Source organism: Homo sapiens, chromosome 6 (genome assembly GCF_000001405.40).
Source record: "Homo sapiens chromosome 6, GRCh38.p14 Primary Assembly".
Taxonomy (NCBI): Eukaryota; Metazoa; Chordata; class Mammalia; order Primates; family Hominidae; genus Homo; species Homo sapiens.
The window spans coordinates 162,706,789-162,727,908 of NC_000006.12; the positions used below are offsets into that span (position 1 = coordinate 162,706,789).

General features: G+C 41.0%; 2 protein-coding genes across 11 annotated transcripts in view, besides 3 other annotated features; one reads left to right on the forward strand and one right to left on the reverse strand.

The window, feature by feature from the left end:
- Positions 1-20,978, reverse strand: part of PRKN (parkin RBR E3 ubiquitin protein ligase) — a 1,380,350-nt gene extending 1,359,372 nt beyond the window's left edge. For all 5 annotated transcript variants that reach the window (XM_024446449.2, NM_013988.3, XM_011535863.2 and 2 more), the window contains exon 1: positions 20,874-20,978. Coding sequence is in view for 4 of the 5 variants with exons in the window: in NM_013988.3 (NP_054643.2) it covers positions 20,874-20,880 (7 nt within the window). In the remaining variant the exon portion in view is untranslated. The remainder of the gene's footprint in view (positions 1-20,873) is intronic.
- Positions 7,608-8,108: an enhancer, noted in NCBI's record as "H3K27ac hESC enhancer chr6:163135428-163135928 (GRCh37/hg19 assembly coordinates)". NCBI's record gives its function as "activates a minimal SCP1, AML or CMV promoter by ChIP-STARR-seq in naive H9 embryonic stem cells {active_cell/tissue: H9 hESC(naive)}" and the evidence as "EXISTENCE:reporter gene assay evidence [ECO:0000049][PMID:30033119]".
- PACRG (parkin coregulated) overlaps positions 20,344-21,120 on the forward strand; it is a 588,369-nt gene continuing 587,592 nt past the window's right edge. For 3 of the 6 annotated variants that reach the window (NM_152410.3, NM_001080378.2, XM_017010275.3), the window contains exon 1: positions 20,344-20,491. The gene's annotated coding sequence lies outside the window, so the exon portion shown is untranslated. Of the gene's footprint in view, positions 20,505-20,753; positions 20,890-21,120 lie in introns of those variants that run through there. The other 3 variants (XM_017010277.3, XM_017010279.3, XM_017010278.3) reach the window with 3 other exon arrangements.
- Positions 20,556-21,095: a silencer, noted in NCBI's record as "silent region_17768". NCBI's record gives its function as "represses an Ori minimal core promoter by ATAC-STARR-seq in GM12878 lymphoblastoid cells {active_cell/tissue: GM12878}" and the evidence as "EXISTENCE:reporter gene assay evidence [ECO:0000049][PMID:35858748]".
- Positions 20,585-20,806: a silencer, noted in NCBI's record as "fragment chr6:163148405-163148626 (GRCh37/hg19 assembly coordinates)". NCBI's record gives its function as "represses an EF-1alpha promoter that drives an FKBP-Casp9 reporter gene in an ReSE screen in K562 erythroleukemia cells {active_cell/tissue: K562}" and the evidence as "EXISTENCE:reporter gene assay evidence [ECO:0000049][PMID:32094911]".

Genomic DNA, 21,120 nt, shown 5'->3' on the forward strand with positions numbered 1-21,120 from the left:
AAAACATAAAGGGAATGTATCATAGATATAGATCAATGACTAAACAATTCTTAAGAAGACACTAACAGCTAAATGTTATATTGGTCTACTGATTATATTGACCATATACCACTGATGGAATTTGTTTGAAAACAACTTCTCTTTTGTTTGGCTACCACAAAAAGTAAAATAATCCAGATAATTTTATTCTTGGATCAAAAATTTCAAAGAGATTTTCTTACCTCAAAATTAAGAAAGATAGCTTTTAAGAAAAGTAGCTGTAGAGTGAATATAGAAAAGTTAATTAAATTCTAAGTTAAATTTCTAATACATATAAAGGATGCTTTCTAATGAGAAAAAAGCAGAGTTTCCCCAGCAAATTGTAAATAACTTGGACCAAAATCAAGATAATTCTTATATGAATATACTGTGGAAAAGGTATCTAGCAACCTCATTTTTAGGATGTACAATATCTAAATATTAGTTATTAAGCAAAAACTGAAAGTATTCAAATTAAGTTATGTGACCATTAGGCATCCAACTTAACCTACTTTTATTTTACACTTGTACTATTGCTAAATAATAACTGATGATTCCAAGAGAATAAACAATACTCTCAGAACAGAGTAATACAAAATATGTTCAGTCTACTGTATTTACCATGGCAGGAAAAAGGACACACATTGTTAGAAGGATTATTCAGCATGAAGGACTAAAATAAAAAATAGTTGCCTGGTTATCTTTGTATTGATTTTAAAAATTTCACAAATATTCTATTTCATTGTCACATTAGAGAAACAGCATCACTATTTTTTTTTTTTTTTTCCGAGACACAGTCTGGCTGTCACCCAGGCTGCAGTGCAGTGGCACGATCTCAGTTCACTGCAACCTCCAACTCCCGGGTTCAAGTGATTCTCACGCCTCAGCCTCCTGAGTAGCTGGGACTACAGGTGCAAGCCACCACGCCTGGCTAATTTTTATATTTTTAGTAGAGATGGGGTTTCACCATGTTGGCCAAGCTGGTCTCGATCAAACTCCTGGCCTCAAGTGATCCACCTTGCCTTGGCTTCCCAAAGTGCTGGGATTATAGGCATAAGCCACCATACCTGGCTAATATTTGTATTTTTAGTAGAGACAGGGCTTCACCATGTTGGCCAAGTTGGTCTCACACTCCTGGCCTCAAGTGATCTGCCCACCTTGGCCTCCCAAAGTGCTGGGATTACAGGCATGAATCTGCCACCACTGGATTTTCACTTTTTTGTGTAACACATTTTCTTTCTGTAAGGGGAAAATAAACAAATAATTCATTAATTTAATTTTCAAAATTTATTTATGGCTCTGATAAACATAAAAGCCAACAGCATATTTTAAAGCTATTTTGAAAATATAAAAAGAATGGTTACTATGTTTGATTTTTCATATGGCTAGTGACTCAATCCAGCTGTGCCCCAAGAAAACTGAATGAATGTTGATGATAAAAATATCTGAAAACTGTATGAGAAACCACATAGACATATATGCTAGGAACTTACAGATTTTATGTCCCAATTAAGGCCTGTGAATAAACGGAGATGAGTATTCAAGATAATAGAAGTAGAAATCATATCTTTGTCTTAATTACCATTTATAAAGTTAATATAAAATAAAATTTCCCTAAGTATTGCAGAAAAGCAAACATAGCAAGACAATTTTACATTGTCAATAAACTGGAAATGGGCAGGAAAGCTGCTTCCTTTGAAACAACCTAACACGGCTTTCATGACACTGATTCTTAACAGTGATGAAACATTAAATGAAACATGAAATTGATTAGCCTCTTTCTCTTCTATACTCCAAATTTTCTCCCACTTTGAAAATATCTATTATTTCACTAACTCAAAGGCCAAAAATCTAATAGCGTTTGTTACTCATTTTCGACCACTGGCCTAACCCCATTCCAGGCACCTTCAGAAATAACACTGCCTTTCTGCCCTGACATAGAGTCAGAGACCTAAAGAGCCTTGTTGGGAGAGCAGTCTTCCCTGGGCCTACATATCTTACTGCAGGGGCCCCCAAGCCGCAGGCCATAGGGGTCCGTGGCCTGTTAGGAACTGGGCCACACAGCAGGAGGTGAGTGGTGGGCAAGCGGAGCCAGTAAACCTTCCTCTGTATTTACAGGTGCTCCCTATCACTTGCCTTACCACCTGAGCTCCACCTCCTGTCTGATCAGCAGAGGTATTAGATTCTCACCGGAGCGTGAACCCTATTGTGAACTCTGCATGTGAGGGATCTAGGCTGCAGGCTCCTTATGAGAATCTAATGCCTGATGATCTGTCACTGTCTCCCATCACCTCCAGATGGGACTGTCCAGTTACAGCAAAATAAACTCAGGGGCCCCACTGATTCTACACTATGGCGAATTGTTATTTCATTGTAATATATAATTATTTCATTATATATTACAATGTAATAAAGGGCACAATAAAGGTAACGCACTTGAATTACACTTGAAACCACCCTCCTCGCCCTGATCCATGGAAAAATTGTCTTATGAAACCGATCCCTGGTGCCAAAAAGGTTGGAGACTACTGTCTTACTGGGTATGCCAAGACATCAAGGGTCTGAACACTTTTTTTTTTTTTTTTAATAACCTGGGCTACTTCTCAGGTTGCTTTCGCAGGTGAGAGATGAGGCAACCTCTCCCCTTGGACAAACAGCAGACTGACTTACTGCTTGTTATAAAAGCAGTGAATTCCCCAAACTCAGAGTTCCTTAGTTGCAATGCAAACTCACTCATTCATAGCATCCATCCGGACCATAGGAATTGAAAGCAAGGGCAATTGATGCCAATATGCTGGTGCTCATGCTGCTTATTGTGCCAAGGGTAATAAAACGTTTTCTTTCTGACCCGGAAGTCTCATGTCTTCTGCCAGTAACCATGAAACAGTAACTGGCTAAAATGTATGAGAAACGATACACATACCATTAGCTTCCAAATAGGGTAAGATGATATCTCAGACCTGACAGTTTTGGTGAAGGAACATAGCTATCTGGAGAAGGAAGGAAAAGTGTCCAGAGATTGGGTCCAGGAATATAAAAAAATCTCCCTGGAATCTGAGAGCGAATGCTCTTGCCTAGGAGGTGGACAGTGGGGTGTGGTGGGTGGGAATAAGGGTCCCTACTGTCCTGTGTGCTAATGAGGCTAAGAGAGGCAAGATTGAAATGAGTATGTAAACGGAACCGTGGATATTGCTCACTCATTCTCCTCCACGGGTTGGGGTGTTATCATGACAAGGGGGCAGCAAGAAAGACAATGTGGGTGTGGCTGCTGAGCCAGGGGTCCTCAAAGCTGACACAGTGTCTCAATAATAATGACCTTTTTACCTGATATAGGTCTTTGTGCGGACCATCAACTTTAGAAGTCTGGTTAAGCCTCACATAGGCTGCTGCTTGAAAGCCACAGTAAATGTGCCTTGTTGATTAACACGGAGCTGCTGTCCCTCTCATACTACCTGATCCCTCCCTTCCCTCTATTCTGAACTCAGCTGCTTTAAGGAGAAGGATGACTGGGCTGGGTTTAAGATCTCCCTATCCCCAGGGGACAGAAAGCCCCTGGCACCCCCTACAAACACACACACACACACACACACACACACACACACACACACAACTGTTTGGTATGATGAGGAAGAAAGGAACTCAACTGTTATGAGTCCAAGTTCCCATTCTTCCTGGCCCATGGAAGAAAGGCACACTGAACTCTACTAATGGGGTTTAGTGCTTCCCAGTGGGAAAGGGGAGGTGAACTAGCCTTGTAAAGGTGCCCTCTGGGCTTATTCAATGTGGTGTTGTGGTAGCAGCTCCCATATTCAATTCTATAATAAGAACTGATGTATTACACATTTGCACGGCCTAATCCCTGAAGTGTCAGAAGGGCTTTTCATGTTCCAGAACTGCTGCAGAGGCCCCTGCCCACTATAATAGCATCACCTGTTTGATGGAGCTACAAAGTACTTTAAAAAAAAACAAAAAAGCAGCTGTTATCCTGCAACTAAGCTCTTGTGGAGAAAAATGAACAGCTGAAATCCCATTTTCAGGTGAATCTCCCTAAAGAGGTGGGAAGGGCCTAAGAGGCCTTCCTGGTCAAATGGAAATGGTATATTCAAGGGCACAGTGCATCCAGCCCTAGCATCACCCAGTATTAAATGAAAATAATGGCAGCTACTTCTTTGGAGGAACCATATCCCCCACTCCACTACTGGAAACAGAGCTGCTGGTTCAAGAAGGCTCTCAGAGGTTCCCATCACGGATGGCCTGGTTCACTGACAGTTTGATGAAGCTAAAAGCCGATGGTGGTCTCTGACCAGCAGCAGCCAAAAGGACCAGTCAGCACATTTCTCTGTATGAGAGCTCTGACCCTTGTCAGACAATGCTCCTAAAGACCAGGCATTTCATATTTTACAGACTCTTGGACTGCTGTAAATGACTTGTCTGCTTTGCCATTTGGAAGACTACAGACTGGCAGATTAAAGAGCCCCTCTGTAGGACTACACATTTTGAAAACAAATCTTGGCTGCTGATTGGTCTGAGTGTCACTGATACAGATGCCTGCAGTAAGTGCTTATTCTCTGATGAGACCAACTGGAATCAAGCTGTTGGTCAAAACTGCTATTTAAAAAAAAAAAAAAACCAGGAAAAGTCATGTGGACATGGCTGGCCCTGAACTATTCCGCTGTGCCGATGCCACCAACAGCATCTCCCAAACGTGGCCCTTCCCCTCAGACCTGTGCAAACACAGATTGCTTCAACACTGTTCCAACCTGACATACAAATTCATAGGCTTCTCCTGCCTCCCAAGCAGCCGTAGCTAATGCCATGTTTAGCAATCTAGATTGCAGCAACTCAGTGACACTATGTGGCTTAATCAAACCAGTGTAATGCTGATTCCAATCAAGTGTAGCAACAAATTCCAAACTAGAGTGGCCTGTGCTCTCTATATGGGGGAAAGTAGGCCACAGAATGTCTCTCCATTAGGCATGAGGGTTGCTTTCTGAAACAGCTATTATCATTGACAATGAGACCCAAGAGGGGCAAGTCATTGCAAACTTTCTTGCGCAGATCATATTAGGTAGCAGACTTGTCTTGCACCGTCTGAATTAAGACCTACTGGTCTCCCTCTGGGATTTATTCATAGTAGGCTGAATCAGAGATTCTGGTCGGGGAAGGCAGAGAGACTGGATGAAGTCAATACTGCAGGTTGGCTTCATCCTGCTGCTTAGGATTTTATTGATTGTTGCCCTAATTAAATGCTGGTATGAGACAAGTTGACTAGTTTGGTTCCAACCTCTGTTGGTCCGATTAATCAGAGTGACTACAGGTGGCCTATTCATGTAAAAATTTACCAAAAGCCAAGATGGGGATGGATAGAGACAGTTTTCCTTGGTCTTCTTATACTCCCTGCATGTCTTGTTGGGATACCAAGACTGCATTGTCCTGACTGCTCTTTTACCTGGGCCATTTCTCAAGACTGCATTGTCCTGACTGCTCTTTTACCTGGGCCACTTCTCAGGACTGTTTATACATCTGATAACCTTAAATAATGAAGTAATGTCTAACCCCAGACAAAGAGCATAGGTACTGCTTGCTATAAAAATGGAAGATTCCCTAAGCTCAGCAGTCATCATCTGCAATGCAAACCTACTGCATGCACAGCATCCATCTGGGCTGTATCACATCACCCCGTGAGATTCAGGGGCAAAGGAACTAGAGTAAATATCATGACGCTTATACAACTTGCCATACTATGAGTAATAAAGCCCCTTAATCTCTGACCCATGTCTCATATCTTTTGCCAGTCTCCATGATATAAACAGGCTAACTCATTAGTTTGTAAGTAGGGTAAAAAGCAAAGCCCAGATCCAACATGTTTATCTCTGGCTTGCACCACATAGGGCATATGATAGAAACCTAGTTAAGACAATCATCCCCATACTTAATGTCCAAACATGAAGTTACATAGCTGTCCTAAAGTTGAACCTGTCTTCTGAGATTATTTCATGGAAGCAAGAGAAAACTATTAACATATGAATGTAAAAACCAGGGTCACTTCCCCATTTTCCAGGCCTAACAAACTTATGAAACCTCCACATAAAACTAGGGTTACTCACTTCAGTTCCGGTTCCTCCAGAGTAAAACCCCTCTGAAGGGGCACTATTACCACCACTTCACCACACTAGAGTGTGGAGGAGAAATACTAAGTATATGAGATGCTGTAATATTATAGTTTGAACGGAAGGGTGATTTGAGATGTGAAAGAAAGTGAATAAGAAGTGCTACTAGACATGGGCAATATACTTTTTAAATTCCAAACTTGATTTCAAAAAGTAGAATCAATCAGTCAAATAAACAAAAAACCTACCTTCAAGGAGGTGGAAGAATGGCAAGAAACTGGTATTTATAAAATTAGGTCTCTTTGGCCAGGCTCACGCCTGTAATCCCAGCACTTTGGGAGACCGAGGCGGGCGGATCACGAGGTCAGAAGATCAAGACCATCCTGGCTAACACAGTGAAACCCCGTCTCTATTAAAAATACAAAAAATTAGCCACGCGTGCTGGCGGGCGCCTGTAGTCCCAGCTACTCGGGAGGCTGAGGCAGGAGAATGGCGTGAACCCAGGAGGTGGAGCTTGCAATGAGCCAAGATCGCGCCACCGCACTCCAGCCTGGGCAACAGAGTGAGACTCCACCTCAAAAAAAAAAAAAAAAAAAAAATTAGGTCTCTTTTGCTACAAGGGAGGGAAGGCAGAAAAAGTATGCCAGATTCAGGGAATAAAAAGTGTTAAGAAATATCATAGTGTTATATCCCATTATCAAAAATCCTACAATTAGGGTTCAAAATTCACCTTCAGAAATTTAATAAAAAGACTCAAATGTCACCAAGTGCTTTATGTATGATTATTGGCAAAATATTTGTCTGTTAGCTATACTTATACTGTTTTGTAAAAGCAAAAAAAAAGAACTTAAAAGACAGGATGAAATAACCATTCAGAAGCAGAATTATAGAAGCTAATTATTAAAATAACTCAGCATTATATCCAGACCTCTAGCTGAGCAGATATCAAAGGCAAATCAGTAAATATTCTAAAATGACTGCTCTGTAATGTATATGATTAAAACAAACTGTGCTAAAAATTAAGAAAATTCACATTGCTTCAGAAATTTCACATTCACTTGTCTCCGTAATTCAATAAAAATAAAATAAATGGTTTTTCAGAACAGCCACCATCAGGAATGTGACGTTTGATCATTTCTCCGCCCTGCTGTGAGCAATGAGGTAAAGGTAGATTTTTTATTCACACCACTCTGCATCCTCATGGGTAAGTGAGGCTGTCGGCATGTCCCGTGACTTAATTATGTGGTGGCCCTGCTGGAGGTGTGCTTGCTTACCGTAAACAGACGCAAATATCTCAAAACTACCCCTGATTTACAAGAAAAACGTTCAAGTTTAAGCCAGTCTTTAACACAAAAGAACATCTTTAGAACAATTGTGAAAAAAATCAGACTTCCTTCTTTGCTTTGCGTCACGGGGCCTTTGTCTAACCAGGGGCTGAGGAGATGCAGGGACACTGGTGACAGGGAGGGAGGGGCCCTGAGAGCAGGCACTGAAACAAACCTGCTCTTCCCATTTTTTAAAAAACCCTTCGGAATAATTTAAATGAGCTCCCACCCAAATTAAATTGCCTTGAGGTTTTCCCTCCAAGGCTTTTGGCATTATAAATACCCCCTGACTTTGGCCTGCCATGTTTCCTCCATCAATCACGGAGTAGCCTAGAATTAAATTGAAATGATTGGATCAAGAAAAATCAAATGTTTTAACATTTAGTTTCAGTAATGTGATTACGAACCTTTTAGTGATATTGTAATTACTCTGAAGCTTTGAGCATATGTTTCTACTGAGAGCATTTCATGGAGAAAAGCTGCATTAGGGAAACAAGTAAATACAGACCCCAATGAAGCAAAAGTGCATTTGTTGTAAAGTTAAAAGCTAAAGGTGGAAAAGAGACAAAGCATCTACGTAATTTACACCCTAAACCTGCTGCATAGAGTAACCACTTTTAAAAATCTCTACTTCTTCCAAAATTCAAATAATTTAAGCACTTCCCTCTAAGGGCAAGCATTAAGGAAGCAGTAAGAAGAAACAACAGTAAAGGACAAGGGAAAAAAAGAAGAAAGGAAAAAGTCATCGTCCTTGTGCTAGGTATTTGCATGGAAAAGATGACAGACAAAGCTCTCTCTCTTAAAATTAATGAACCATCTCCTCAGATACTTAATTTTCACCAAAGTCAAGGCATATAGTTACTTCCCCTATTTGTTAATTTTTTTCTCCCATCTCAACACCTGATGGGATTCTGCTAGGCTAGGAGCCCCAAAGATAAATGAAGTGGGGCCCCACCCCAAAGGTTAATATCAAAAGAGACTGGATTCCTCAAGGGACATGGAAGAAGACAAACCGGAGGCAAGGACAAAGGTCTTCTCTCCTTTGAATCACACTTTCATTTAGGCAACAATTATTTATTAAGTATGAGCACGCTTATTCCCTCAAGAATAAGGCAGGTAAGTAAAGATACACTATAAAGATGGAATGAAATTCGGTTTTTAAAGTTTAGAGGAAAATAACTCTGTCAAGACAGTCTGAAGTACACAAACCTTTTGAAGGGTTTGTTTCTTCTGATTATATTAAAGTACAGCTAATTGCCCTAATAGTTTAAAGATCCTAAGTGGGAAGCTGTGTAATAGCTCCAAGTGCTTAATTTGGCTACTGGCAATTTTATTTTATATTTCAAATTTGAATTCACATCTCACTTTCAGCGACAAGACACAGCCACTTCCTACTGCCTTAGAGTTCCTAGCATTAAGATTGAGCGGTTCCTCATTACTCAGAGCAAAACCTGAATTCTCCAGTATGGCATGGAAAACTGCACTGAGCTGGTCCTGACACCCTAATCTATCATCACCTCCCACTCCATGCTCCCTGTACTCCATCCCGTCAACTACTCATCCTTCCCAACACAGCCTCTGCTAACAAGCCTGCCATCTTGCTGGGGCCAGCCTCTCTGTTTCAAACGCGCTTTCTTTCTTGGCCTGCTCAGGAGTCCAGTCTGTTGTTAAGATCCAGCTCAAATAAATTCCACCTCTGCTGAAGGTTCCCCTGCTTTATCACACAATGAAGCGTACCTCCATGATAACATCTATTATTGTCAATGGTTACTTTCCATGTGTACACAGCATCTTCACTAACTGTGACTTCCTCATTTAGATACGCACGCCTAGTGCCTATCATAAATCCTATAATTTAAGGTGTCAATAAATATTTGCCGAATTTAACATTTTCTTTTTTCAGCAAAAAATAAATGTTTTCTTCTTTAAAAACCAAATTCTGCATTCATCTATTTAAAAAATTTATTCCATATTAGAGTTTCTCCTAACTGTACTAACAATGTATAAGGGAATATTTTCCAAATGTTTCTGTTAAAACTGCCTCAAGAAACCAAATTCTATGCTGACATCTGTGAGAAATTACAAGATTTCGCTCTTTCGTCCTTCTCAACTTAATAATTTAAAATTCTAACTGTATAATTTTCAACCAACCCATATTAGTTATTATTTACAAAGGACAGGACAATGTTAAACTATTCCAGGGAGCATGAAGTGTCTAACGCTCATAGGGAACTGTCAAATCAGAAAGCAATATACACATAATGGTTATTTGCTTCCACTTTGCCTGATCATCTGTTATGTGAAGTGGTATCTCCTGTCCAAAGCATAACAAAACTTCCCCTTCTCTACAGGATACAAATTAGCAACCTGGTACATATCAAATTACCCAGCTGCAATGCACTATGGGAGTCCAGGAGAATATTCACACCTTCTTTTGCCACCTGAGAAAACTACCTTGAAAAGTGAGTTATGTCCTTGGCTAGCTTCATCAACTAGTCCATACACCCTACCCGCCTGCGCGCGCGCGCACGCACACACACACGCGCACACACACACACACACACACAGACTCCTCATGTGTAACACTACTGCATTACCTTTAAGTGACCTCACAATAGGCAAAAATCAAGTTGTAGCTCTCTGTCATTCTTCCTTCATAAGGAAGTACCTAACCATACGTTCAAATGGTGAAGCATTACTGGTAACTGTGGTGGCTGAATAATGCCTCCTTGTCCCTGAAACCTACGACTGTTTCCCGATATGACAAAAGGGACTTTGCAGATGTGATTAAGGATCTGGAGACGAAGAGGCTATCCTGGTGGCTCCTGAATGTAACCCCATGTGTTCTTTTAAGAGGAAGGCAGAGCAAGATTTGATGGCAGTAAAGGAGAAGGCAATGTGACCACAGCAGCAGAGACTGGAGTGATGTGGCCAGGAGCCAAGGAATGCCAGCAGCCTCCAGAAGTGAAAGAGGAGTCTCCACAGGAGCTTCTATTAATGGAAGGGGCTAGCCCAGCGAACACCTTGATTTTAGTCCCTTTTAGTCACTTTGGGGCTGGGCACAGTGGCTCACACCTGTAATCTGACAACTTTGGGAGACTGAGGTGGGAAGATGACTTGAGCCCAAGAGTTCAAGACTAGTCTGGGCAACATAGCAAGATCCTGTCTCTACAAAAAATAAAAAATAAAAAAATTAGCCAGGCAGGTTGGCATGCACCTATAGTCCCAGCTATTCGGGAAGTTGAGCCCAGGAATTCAAGGTTGCAGTGAGCTGTGTTTGTGCCACTGCACTCCAGTCTGAGTGACAGAGGGAGATCTTGTCTCAAAAAAAAAAAAAAAAAAAAGTCATTTTGGACTTTGGGCCTCCAGAACTGTAAGAAAATAAATTTGTGTTTAAAAGTCACTAAACTTGTGGTAATTCGTTACAGCAACAACAGGAACTACACAAAAACTAATACAGTAATCTGGCCATGCCCCGATAGTGTATAATATTAAAGAAAGTGAAATTATGGTTCTAATGTTTGTTTTCCTGAAAACACTACTTTTATGACCAGAACATGAGCATAGTATGCTACCATTGAAAATTTATCTGACATAATTTGACACAAAAGTAGAATCCGTTTTAAATGTATTACCACAATGCATTTGTCCTGAAGATTGTGTTTATAACACATTGCTTTTCAGTATTTCCAAAACATTATACGCTTAACGCTGAAGATCTGAAAAACACAATCATAATAAAAGAAAACATCCCACAACCCAAAGATATAATTTGCCGGTATACTTCCTGATATTTTTACATATACAAATGGCCCCTAATGCTATCTAGTTTCCAGTTATGGTAACTAAATGGTCACATTAACACTTTTTAAAAAAGATCTTTCCCAATTATTAAGAACTCACACATATTTGTCCATCTTAGATCACTTAATCATCCTATCATCACTGTTTTAAGACAAAAAAAATCTTATTACTTCTAGGAACTTCATCTCAAATAGCATCCCCATCCCCTCTCTGACTGACTTTACCTGTATAACTTGCATTCTATTAAGCATAAGATGATTAAATTGGCTGCAAAAGCCAGAAGGGACTTTTAATGAATTTACACACTAAGAATTGTGACAACTATGTCTTGATCCAATATGAAAGTTTCTTAGATGTTGAATCTCCATTAAAAATTATTCCAGAGGCCAGGCGCGGTGGCTCATGCCTGTAATCTCAGCACTTTGGGAGGCCGAGACAGGTGGATCACGAGGTCAGGAGATCGAGACCATCCTGACTAACACGGTGATACCCCGTCTATACTAAAAATACAAAAAAAATTAGCTGGGCATGGTGGCAGGCGCCTGTAGTCCCAGCTACTCGGGAGGCTGAGGCAGGAGAATGGCGTGAACCTGGGAGGCGGAGCTTACAGTGAGCCGCGATCACGCCACTGCACTCCAGCCTGGGCAACACAGCAAGACTCCGTCTCAAAAAAAAAAAAATTTATTCCAGAACTGTCCCCCACAAAACAAAATAGAGTTCTAAAATGGGCAACAATGCCCAGAAATTGCCAGAACATAAAAAACAAGCACAGAGACTTGGTATAAAACTCAAGACACTGAGAATAAGATTATTTGGTGACTTCTTTGAAATCAAGATGATATAAAAGTCAATACCTATGTCAGAAGCTCTGCATGTAGTGAGACACGGCAGATGCCACACACACATACACACACACACACACGAGAAAGGGACAATGAATAATGGAGAAAACTCTAGAGAGGGACAAAAGGAAGAAATTCCAATTCCAATCATAGGTTGAGCATCTCACAGATTCCTAAATGAACAAGAGTGGAAAGCCCACAACAGATCTCTACGAAATATCACTCTCTGTATCATATGATTATGTCTAAATTGACTGCCCAATAAAACACATATACTTCCCATCTGATCCTATGAATTCAGACATATTCATGTAAAAACGTCTTTATATATTGTCACATGTAATTATACAAATTTGGTGAATATCAACTGGATCATGCAGTCTACATTTGTCTGTGGTCAGGAGCCCAGAGAAGCAGCACCTCAGAGAACATGACCTCACTTGTGCTTAAATCTGTACCTCTCACACTCTGGGAACTCACCAGAGAGCTATAAAGGACTTTCAGGAGAAAGGAGGTCGAATTTCAAGGGTGGAGAGAAGACCCAGGGCACAGGGAATATTATTCTTAAATCTGTCTAATTCTCCAAGGAGCAAACCTAACTTGCCCCCATCCTCTAGCTGCCCAGAGTTCATCATTCCTCAATTTTGTTTCAATGGAAAAAAAAAATTGTAATCAGGACTGGATTTGCCTGGAAGGAAAATGCAGAGCCAGAGACTACAAAGATTTCCATTGCAGACAATTCCCAATCTAGGGAATGTCTCCAGTAGGAGCTGTGGTGAAGCCTGGTCTGTTCCGGTCAGGCCACTCCTGTGATAACCCTCAGAAACATTACAACCCACAGTCAAGCCCTGTGGCAACAAGTAAGGAAGAAATTCACCTGTTGTTCAGACAACAGCTGCTCCTTTGAGCTGAAGAATGAAATATTAAATTCCAGCTTCTGAGAAAATCAAGGAATGTGGGTAAGAAAAAAATGAGGGGACAGAAAAGAGGGAGTGCAGGTAGATGTCAAAAAAAAAAAAAAAAAAAAAAAAACTAAAGGTTGACCTCAGAAACACAGATATTACAAATGTTCCTTCCTATTTCTCCATTTTATTAATACGAGCAAGTTTCAGGTGTCTACTTCCTATCATTTCATGATCTGGAAAATGGATCTACTCTGCGGGTACAATAAGCTTTAAAAATGACTACGCAGTTACAGAGGGCTTCATCACAAGATCTTATTTATGCACTGAAACTCCAAAAATATCTCACAATAGGAGTAACTGGCGTATTCAACAATTATGTAAATAAATAATAAAAAGTCTCAATCAGGACACCAATATTAACTCCCTAATCACCAATTTTCCCCCTCATTTGATGAGGGTAGGAGTAGAGATGTGCAAAATGGGTGAGGCTGCTAACTATTGAACATTCTCTCCTCCAAAGTTAAGGGCTCTCATGTGAAACTTTATGGGGGCCTCTGTTCAGGTCTTACAGTAAAAGTAAATTGGAGAGAATCATCAAGAAGCCATCAATACTCTTAAAAATACACACATCTGTCCATAGATGGTCTTTTTTTTTTTTTTTTTTTTTTTGAGACGGAGTCTCGCTCTGTCGCCCAGGCCGGACTGCGGACTGCAGTGGCGCAATCTCGGCTCACTGCAAGCTCCGCTTCCCGGGTTCACGCCATTCTCCTGCCTCAGCCTCCCGAGTAGCTGGGACTACAGGCGCCCGCCACCGCGCCCGGCTAATTTTTTGTATTTTTAGTAGAGACGGGGTTTCACCTTGTTAGCCAGGATGGTCTCGATCTCCTGACCTCATGATCCACCCGCCTCGGCCTCCCAAGGTGCTGGGATTACAGGCGTGAGCCACCGCGCCCGGCCCATAGATGGTCTTAATATGTGCCTAGGTATATGAGTCATGCAGATATCTAAGAGGAAGAAACTATTCTGCACTATTCTGGGTGACACGATATCCACAGCTCTGATGACATTGTTCTCTCCACACAGAGAAGAAACTATAAATAGAACCCTAAGCATCATGTTCCACATATCAAAGAAGGAGATACAAACTATTTTTGGAATACAAATAAAGCTTTAGTAACATGAAATAAAACACCTGTCAATAAGAGACATTAATCTATTCTACAAAAATAAGAACTTTTTAAAAAGAAATATGGCCTTTAATCAGAGATGATGTAATGACATATCAAATCAATGTCAACACCCTGAGAAAAGCCATCTCCTACTGCACAATTACCCTGCCATTCTCAGTCGAAGACTGTCCTCTATTAAACATTATCTGGACTTCTTTCCTTTGTTTTATGGAGTGAGTTTATAAACGCTTGTTCTCCGTAACTAGTGATTTCAAGTATTCTGTTTTATCTAAGAAGTACAATGAAGGTCATGAGAAGTCCTCTATTAACACTTTATCTGGACTTGCTGGCACTAGTGTAACTATTTTCTACAACGTTCTATTTCATAACTTTCTAGTACTGCCACAGACATCTTTCTAAAATACAACCTGTTCATAATGCTCTTTTGTAGATAATGGTTCAGTGACTCCTCCCTATCGCCAACTTTAAACCTACCTCCTTGACAAAGCTTATCTGGTGTGCCTGCAGCCTCACCAGATACCTTTCATTCTATTCTCTTCTCTCCCCTCCATGCCTGTCTAGAAGGCCGCCTTCACCTAGTTAACTCCTACTTGTCCTGCAGGAAAACTGGAATGGCTCCACTGGGAAACAGCTGGATCTTCCAAGCTCTATAGGCTGAGTTTTCCAGTACTTCCTTGTATAAACCTATATTATGATACCCACCTTTCAGGTTTGTAAATCTTTACTTTTCTGTACCCCTTCTAGACTATGAACAAGGACCTGATGAAGGGTAGTTACTAAAATGTTGGCTGACTCTAAAGGAGGTGCTAATTGCCTCACACTAAAAAGAGGGTAAGAGGTGACATGGAAAATTTCACATAAAGTTGGTGCCATTGGAACTGGATCTTGAGTGATGAACAGTAGTTTTGAGATGTTCAACAGAAAGAAAGGGCATTCAGATCAACGAGAATCAAATGAACAAAAGAAACATGAAAAATCACGTGTTGCAGGCATGTATGTGTGTGCTGATATGTACATACATCTTTCTAATTACTCTTCTTCTGTGGTGGTGAAGGTGCAATCTATACCACCAATATAAGCCTAATCAGCCCAACTAGGCCACAAACTTATTGGGAAGAAATGGTCATTTCTATGTACCTTCCCCACAGGCAATATATAGACAAATACAACCTATGTGTACCCATCCCTACCCAGCACCATCTAATACATATGGTATAAAGAAATGACACTGAAATAATAATCATAAATACCTATTCATTCAAGGAAAAAAGGTTTCTATTTGGTGAAAAACAGACATTTGAGTTAATCTGTTAAGAGTCCTAGGTAATTAGGAAATTACTGGGGGAAAAGAATCCTATTACTGTAATTCCTTTTAACCAAGATTCTATGCTACAGGATGAAGTAAATAAGCCAGGGAGGTGAGCTGCAACATAAATCAGCCGACTGTCACATGAGTCTCTTTAATATTACAAAATTGAGGGAGAGAAACCATTCAGATTACTACGAAGAAACATTTAAAATGAGCTCATTAAATGCAAATTAAAACAGAAACATTGAATAAGCACTGGGCTACAATTAAAGGCTGCAGAAACAGCAGGTAAGAAACAATTTTCATTGATCAAAGAACTAATAGCTAACAGAATAAAGTATTTTGCATTAAAACTGCTTTCATGAATATGAAGCATTTCGAAGTAAGAACTCTTTTTTTTGCATTTTTCAAAGAAACTTTGGAGGTAGGAATGGATTTACATATCTTAATACAAAGTACTTTCATTGTATCATTTTCAGGCAATGAAACTATGAGGTTTCAAAAAATGCAGACTTCAAAAACATCCTCAGAAATAGGGCCAAAATTGTAAAGGGCAAAGGGTCATTTTAGAGCCTTTGGACCCAAGGAAGAACTATTATATAATTACATAAAATCTTCTATGCAAAACTTTAGTAGAGCCTATTTTTGACACAATTTTACCTCATTATAAACAGAAGCTTTGGGGTACTTAGGCATAGAGCTGGTTTTCATCAACTTATCAAAATGGCAGGGCAAAGAGCAGTACACAGTATATTCAACTAGAAATATAAATTGAGACTTTAAAATTCACTGCACACAAGCTTGAAAACAAATATGCAGATGTGTAGCCAAATGGTGAAGTCGGAATATACATTCCTGATGGCAAGGGACTTTTTCTGTTGTGTTCCCTCGTTTCCCTGGCACCTAGAGCAGTTAAGGGTACATAGCAGGTGCTGGAATCACTGGATCTGCTTTTGCAAAACTAACGCACTATAAGATGAGAATGAGAAGTTTTCTTCTAAATTAATTTGAAAAGTTAAAAGATACTGTTTTTCATCTGTCAAGACGGCAAAAATAAAAAATCTTCGATGGCACATGGGAGGAAATGGGCACTCTTATACACACTGAAAGGGAGGGCAGGGCCACCAAGGACAGTTGTGCAGCTTGTACACTGAAAGGCACTACCCCTAGGGTGAGAGAGAGGTGGGGGACCGGAGATCCAGGAGGCGTTCTGCTAGTGAAAGCTGAGTCAGTCTCAGGAAGGACGTCTTTTGGCAATTTTCAGCCCAGAGGGGCAGGGCAGCTCTTTACTACCATGTTGTATTAGTGGAGGCTTTAGATAGGCTTGTAAAATTGGGCAACTTATTTTGGAAAAATTTTGAAATACCTAGGAAAATGTAAAATCTACAAACTCTTTAACTCAAATTGTCATACGATTTTTATTTTACATCTATGCTTACATGTGCAAGTAAAAAGATATGGCCACAAACACTTCTGACAACAGTTGTCTGTAAACCTAATGAGTGCTTATTTATTGGTAAATATTTTCATAATTAGTGTATCCTATAAAAGACTAGGCAGGAATCGCTGTGGAGTGGATCTGGACATGCAGATATGTAAATTCTCAAAGAGATGCTAAGTGAAACAAGGTATAGAAGAGACTATGTTCCAATGAATGGTTTTTGTCAATCAAAAATCTTCTTAAAAGTCTAAGACACTGAATGTGTATTTCAATACTGACAACATTGTTGTATATATAACCATGCACTCTAATATCTGCTGTTACTCAAATACCTAAATCCAGTTCTACAGAACATTTAGAACATACCACAAATATCCCCACTAACATTCCATTTTAAACACAAAGAATTGCTCATTTTTAAAAAAGTCAAAATATATTTTTAATAGAGGTACCAAAAATTACATTTTTCTAAATTGAATTCTTTTAAGCTTTTCTATTCTGCTTTATATCATCTTGAAGTCCTTCTCCACACTTTCCACAAAGGCACAATTTTTAACCGACTTCAATTAAATTATGTTTCTGTAGCTGCCTGGGTCAGGGCATTCAACACATCAATCACAATGCAGGTGGGAAATGTAAGTACTTTTGAAACAGTCCTCATGCCAATAAGGGAATCTTCGGTTTTGAGAAAGTAAAAGGAAGGTACATGTCATTAGCAGTGAGGTCACAGTCAGTCCTGTTTACTCCTATTCTACCAGGAAACCCATCTTTACGTTTCTCCTTAAACTAAGCCAGGATTTAAATAAAGTGGCAGAATATTATTCGCAGTAAGGTTGAGGCGGGAAATTAAAGAACAATAAAATTAAAAAGAAAGAGAAATAAGTTTTCCTGTTTTAGGCTAACTTGTTCCAGAAGCAGCAACAGGCACAGCCTAGACCCAGGAAAAGTCTTGATAATATTATCTAATATGCTCTGGAGACTCTCTCAGCACTCCCTCAACACAGGGAGAAGAAAAACAAATTTTCCTTTGTTTTACAGAATGAGTTTATAGACTCTTGTTCTCTGTAACTAGTGATTTCAAGTATTCTGTTTTATCTAAGTAGTACAACGAAGGTCATAAAAAGCCTGAGTAGGCCTGAACTACAGCTGCCTGGGCACCACAGAGAAGGTTATAGGATAAGCCTGTGCCCAGGCAAACCTAGAAAACGAACATCTGGGTTGCTTGGCAATGGTCATCTGCAATCCTGTCTTTGTCCTGCCTCTGTATCCCTGCTTTCACGCCACTGTAAGCTTGCTTCAAGCTAGCCCACCTCCGTTTGTGAAGTGTGTATAAAAGTCAAGTACTGTCTTTATTCTGGGCCCAGTCTTTTGGATGTGAGTCAGCTGGGCCTGAGTACACTCAATAAAGATTCTCCTGCTTCAACCTGAGGTCTCCCTCATACTCCCGAATCCCGCAACAAGGTGAGTGTAATAGTTAGAGAAAGCATAGGCCTGAAAGGAGCAAGCTTTGAGAAGCACTCTTACCTTTAACAGAAAATCCCAGATACATACTATTTACATTTTAGTGATCACTGGATAAAGTCTATAATGTCTTTCCTGGCTCTGAATTTTTGTCACAAAAACACAAAACCCATCACTCCAAGGCTTCCTTTTAATGGTTTTCACTTTCACCTACCTTTAGCACTGTTCACGACACCCAAATCCCAAACTGACCATTCAGATGTTTACTGAAATGTGGCTAATGAGGCTGGGCGTGGTGGTTCATGCCTGTAATCCCAGCACTTTCAGAGGCGAATGCGGGAGGATTGCTTGAGCCCAGGAGTTTGAGACCAGCCTGGGCAACATTATGAAACTCCATCTCTACAAAAACTATAACAAAAAATTGGCAGGCATGGTGGCACACACCTGTAGTCACAGCTACTCAGGAGGCTGAGATGGGAGGATCACTTGAGCCCAGGAGTTGGAGGCTGCAGTGAGCTGTGATGGTGCCACTGCACTCCGGCCTGGGTGACAGAGACAGAACCTGTCTCAAAAAGAGGAAAAAAAAAAAAAAAAGACGTGTGTCTAATTTCAGAATTAGGCAATGCAACTAGTTGAATATTTTATTGCACATTGTCCATGATCTTATATGTAAGGCACATTTCCTAGGGAAAGCAGGCATGGATTTAATCATTTATGTTGTACTGCACACTTATTTGCACTATGTAAAACCATGGCTGGAGTGAGAGAAATAACACTTTTAAAAACCAACCTTATATTCTCCATGTCATTACCAGTAATTGATAACTGTTTAATCATCAACTCCAAAGATATTTCTTCCTTATTGGAAGAATTCCAGATAAAACTAAACAGAACTGTCCAAACACATTTCATCCTAATAAAGTTATTTATATAATCACTTATTAGGTCATAACTTATAACTGAGTAATGTTCTTTAGATCTTAAGTGCTTGTCTTTATATAGCTTTACAATAAATTTGTTTCTCTTAAAATTATCTGTGCACTAGATTAAGTTAAATTAAAATAAAATGTATTTAACTGTCTTCAAAATAAGGTATAGGCTATTTTCTTCCTGTAGACTGACAGCACAGATATTGGAAAATCTCTTCTACTTGGTTTTCTGATTCAGTTCAAACTTGTGCTTGCAAGTGAATCTTACGTAAATGTCACCTAAAAAGAGCTCAAGAAGACTCATAAAAAATATTTTTTTCGTAATTTGATTAACTTTCAAGTCATTCACCAAAAGTCAGACCATGCTAGAAAGGGAAGAAAAGTTGGACAACATTCTTGTTTTACCACAAAGACCATGCCAGTTAGCTGGCTTGATTCTCCCACTGATGGGGAGAATGTTTACATTTTAACAATAACTTCACAAATAAACAGATGTAAGAAGTGTTTTCAGTGCATAAAGATCATATACTTTATAAATCCACCTCTCATCTTTCTTCTGGACAGACCACATCTGACTTCGAACGTACTTACTGCAATCAAAAGTGTTTTGTAAAGGACCCTCCTCAGGAATAAACAAGCTCACTAAACCCTCCATACATAACCTGGAGAAACCTCCACAATAATGAAACCCCATCTAGCACTGTTTTTCAAACATATGGTGCATTTCCATTAATTTTCAGGGATAGCCCCTAAAGTAACTTTTGGCTCAACAACCCTGGAAGAGAGGACCTTTGCTCATCTTACACATCAAGTGTTCATGAACAACTCTGATGCCACTAAGTTTCGTTCACAAACTTGCACCTCGGTCGTTCTTTTACAAAAAAAAAAAAGAAAGGTTATTTTGCAAAAGGCAATAGATTTAATCTTGGCTACTATTTACTCTTAATGTTTCTTTCATCTCAGCCCTCCAATGAGAAGTTTAAAAGGAAACATCCGAGGGAGCAAGTTTAGATCTATCTGGAGGAGTTTCTGTGGAGCCAGCCACCCTCACCAGGTGCCTTCCATTAGAGTTTAATGCTTTGCTGCGGTTTCCTGAAAGAGCCCCACAGAGAGTGGGTCTCGATGGGTCCTGAACCGCACCACAACCGGCCAGTGAGGTGAGGGGCGAAGGTGAGGGGCGGCGGCGGGGCGAAGGTGAGGGGCGGCGGCGGGGAGAAGGCTTCGGGACCCCACACGGTCCGGGGGACCGCGAACGAGGAGCGGGGGTGCGGGGCCGCCTGGCGTCCCCGTCGAGGCGGTCTTCATGAGAACGCTCAGAGCAGGGGCGGGCAGGCGAGGGCTTCGAACGCACACACTGGGGCCCCGGACCCGCGTCGCTGAGCTGGGGAGCCCGGCGGCGCGGGCCGGGGACGGCACGGGCACTTTGGCCCCGTCATTGACAGTTGGCACCGGGGGTCCTGGTCGGCCGAGGCGGGGCGTGGCGCCATACCGGGGCGTGGGGCGGCGCAGAGAGGCTGTACCTGGCAGGTACCCACGTACCTATCATGGTCACTGGGTAGGTGGCGGCTGCGGGCCAGGAACAGGCCCATGCGCGCAGCGGCGCCAGCCGCGCCTCCCACCAGCGGCTCTCCTGGGTTAAATCCTCCAGGCCTCCCCGCCCCCGCGCCCGGCCCTAGGAATGCGCACGCGCGGAGGGCGCGGCCCAGGGCCTGCTGGGAGTCGTAGTTCTAACGCGTAGTTTCTCCTCACGCCTCCTGCCCCCAGCCCCCCACCGCCGCCCTTTCCG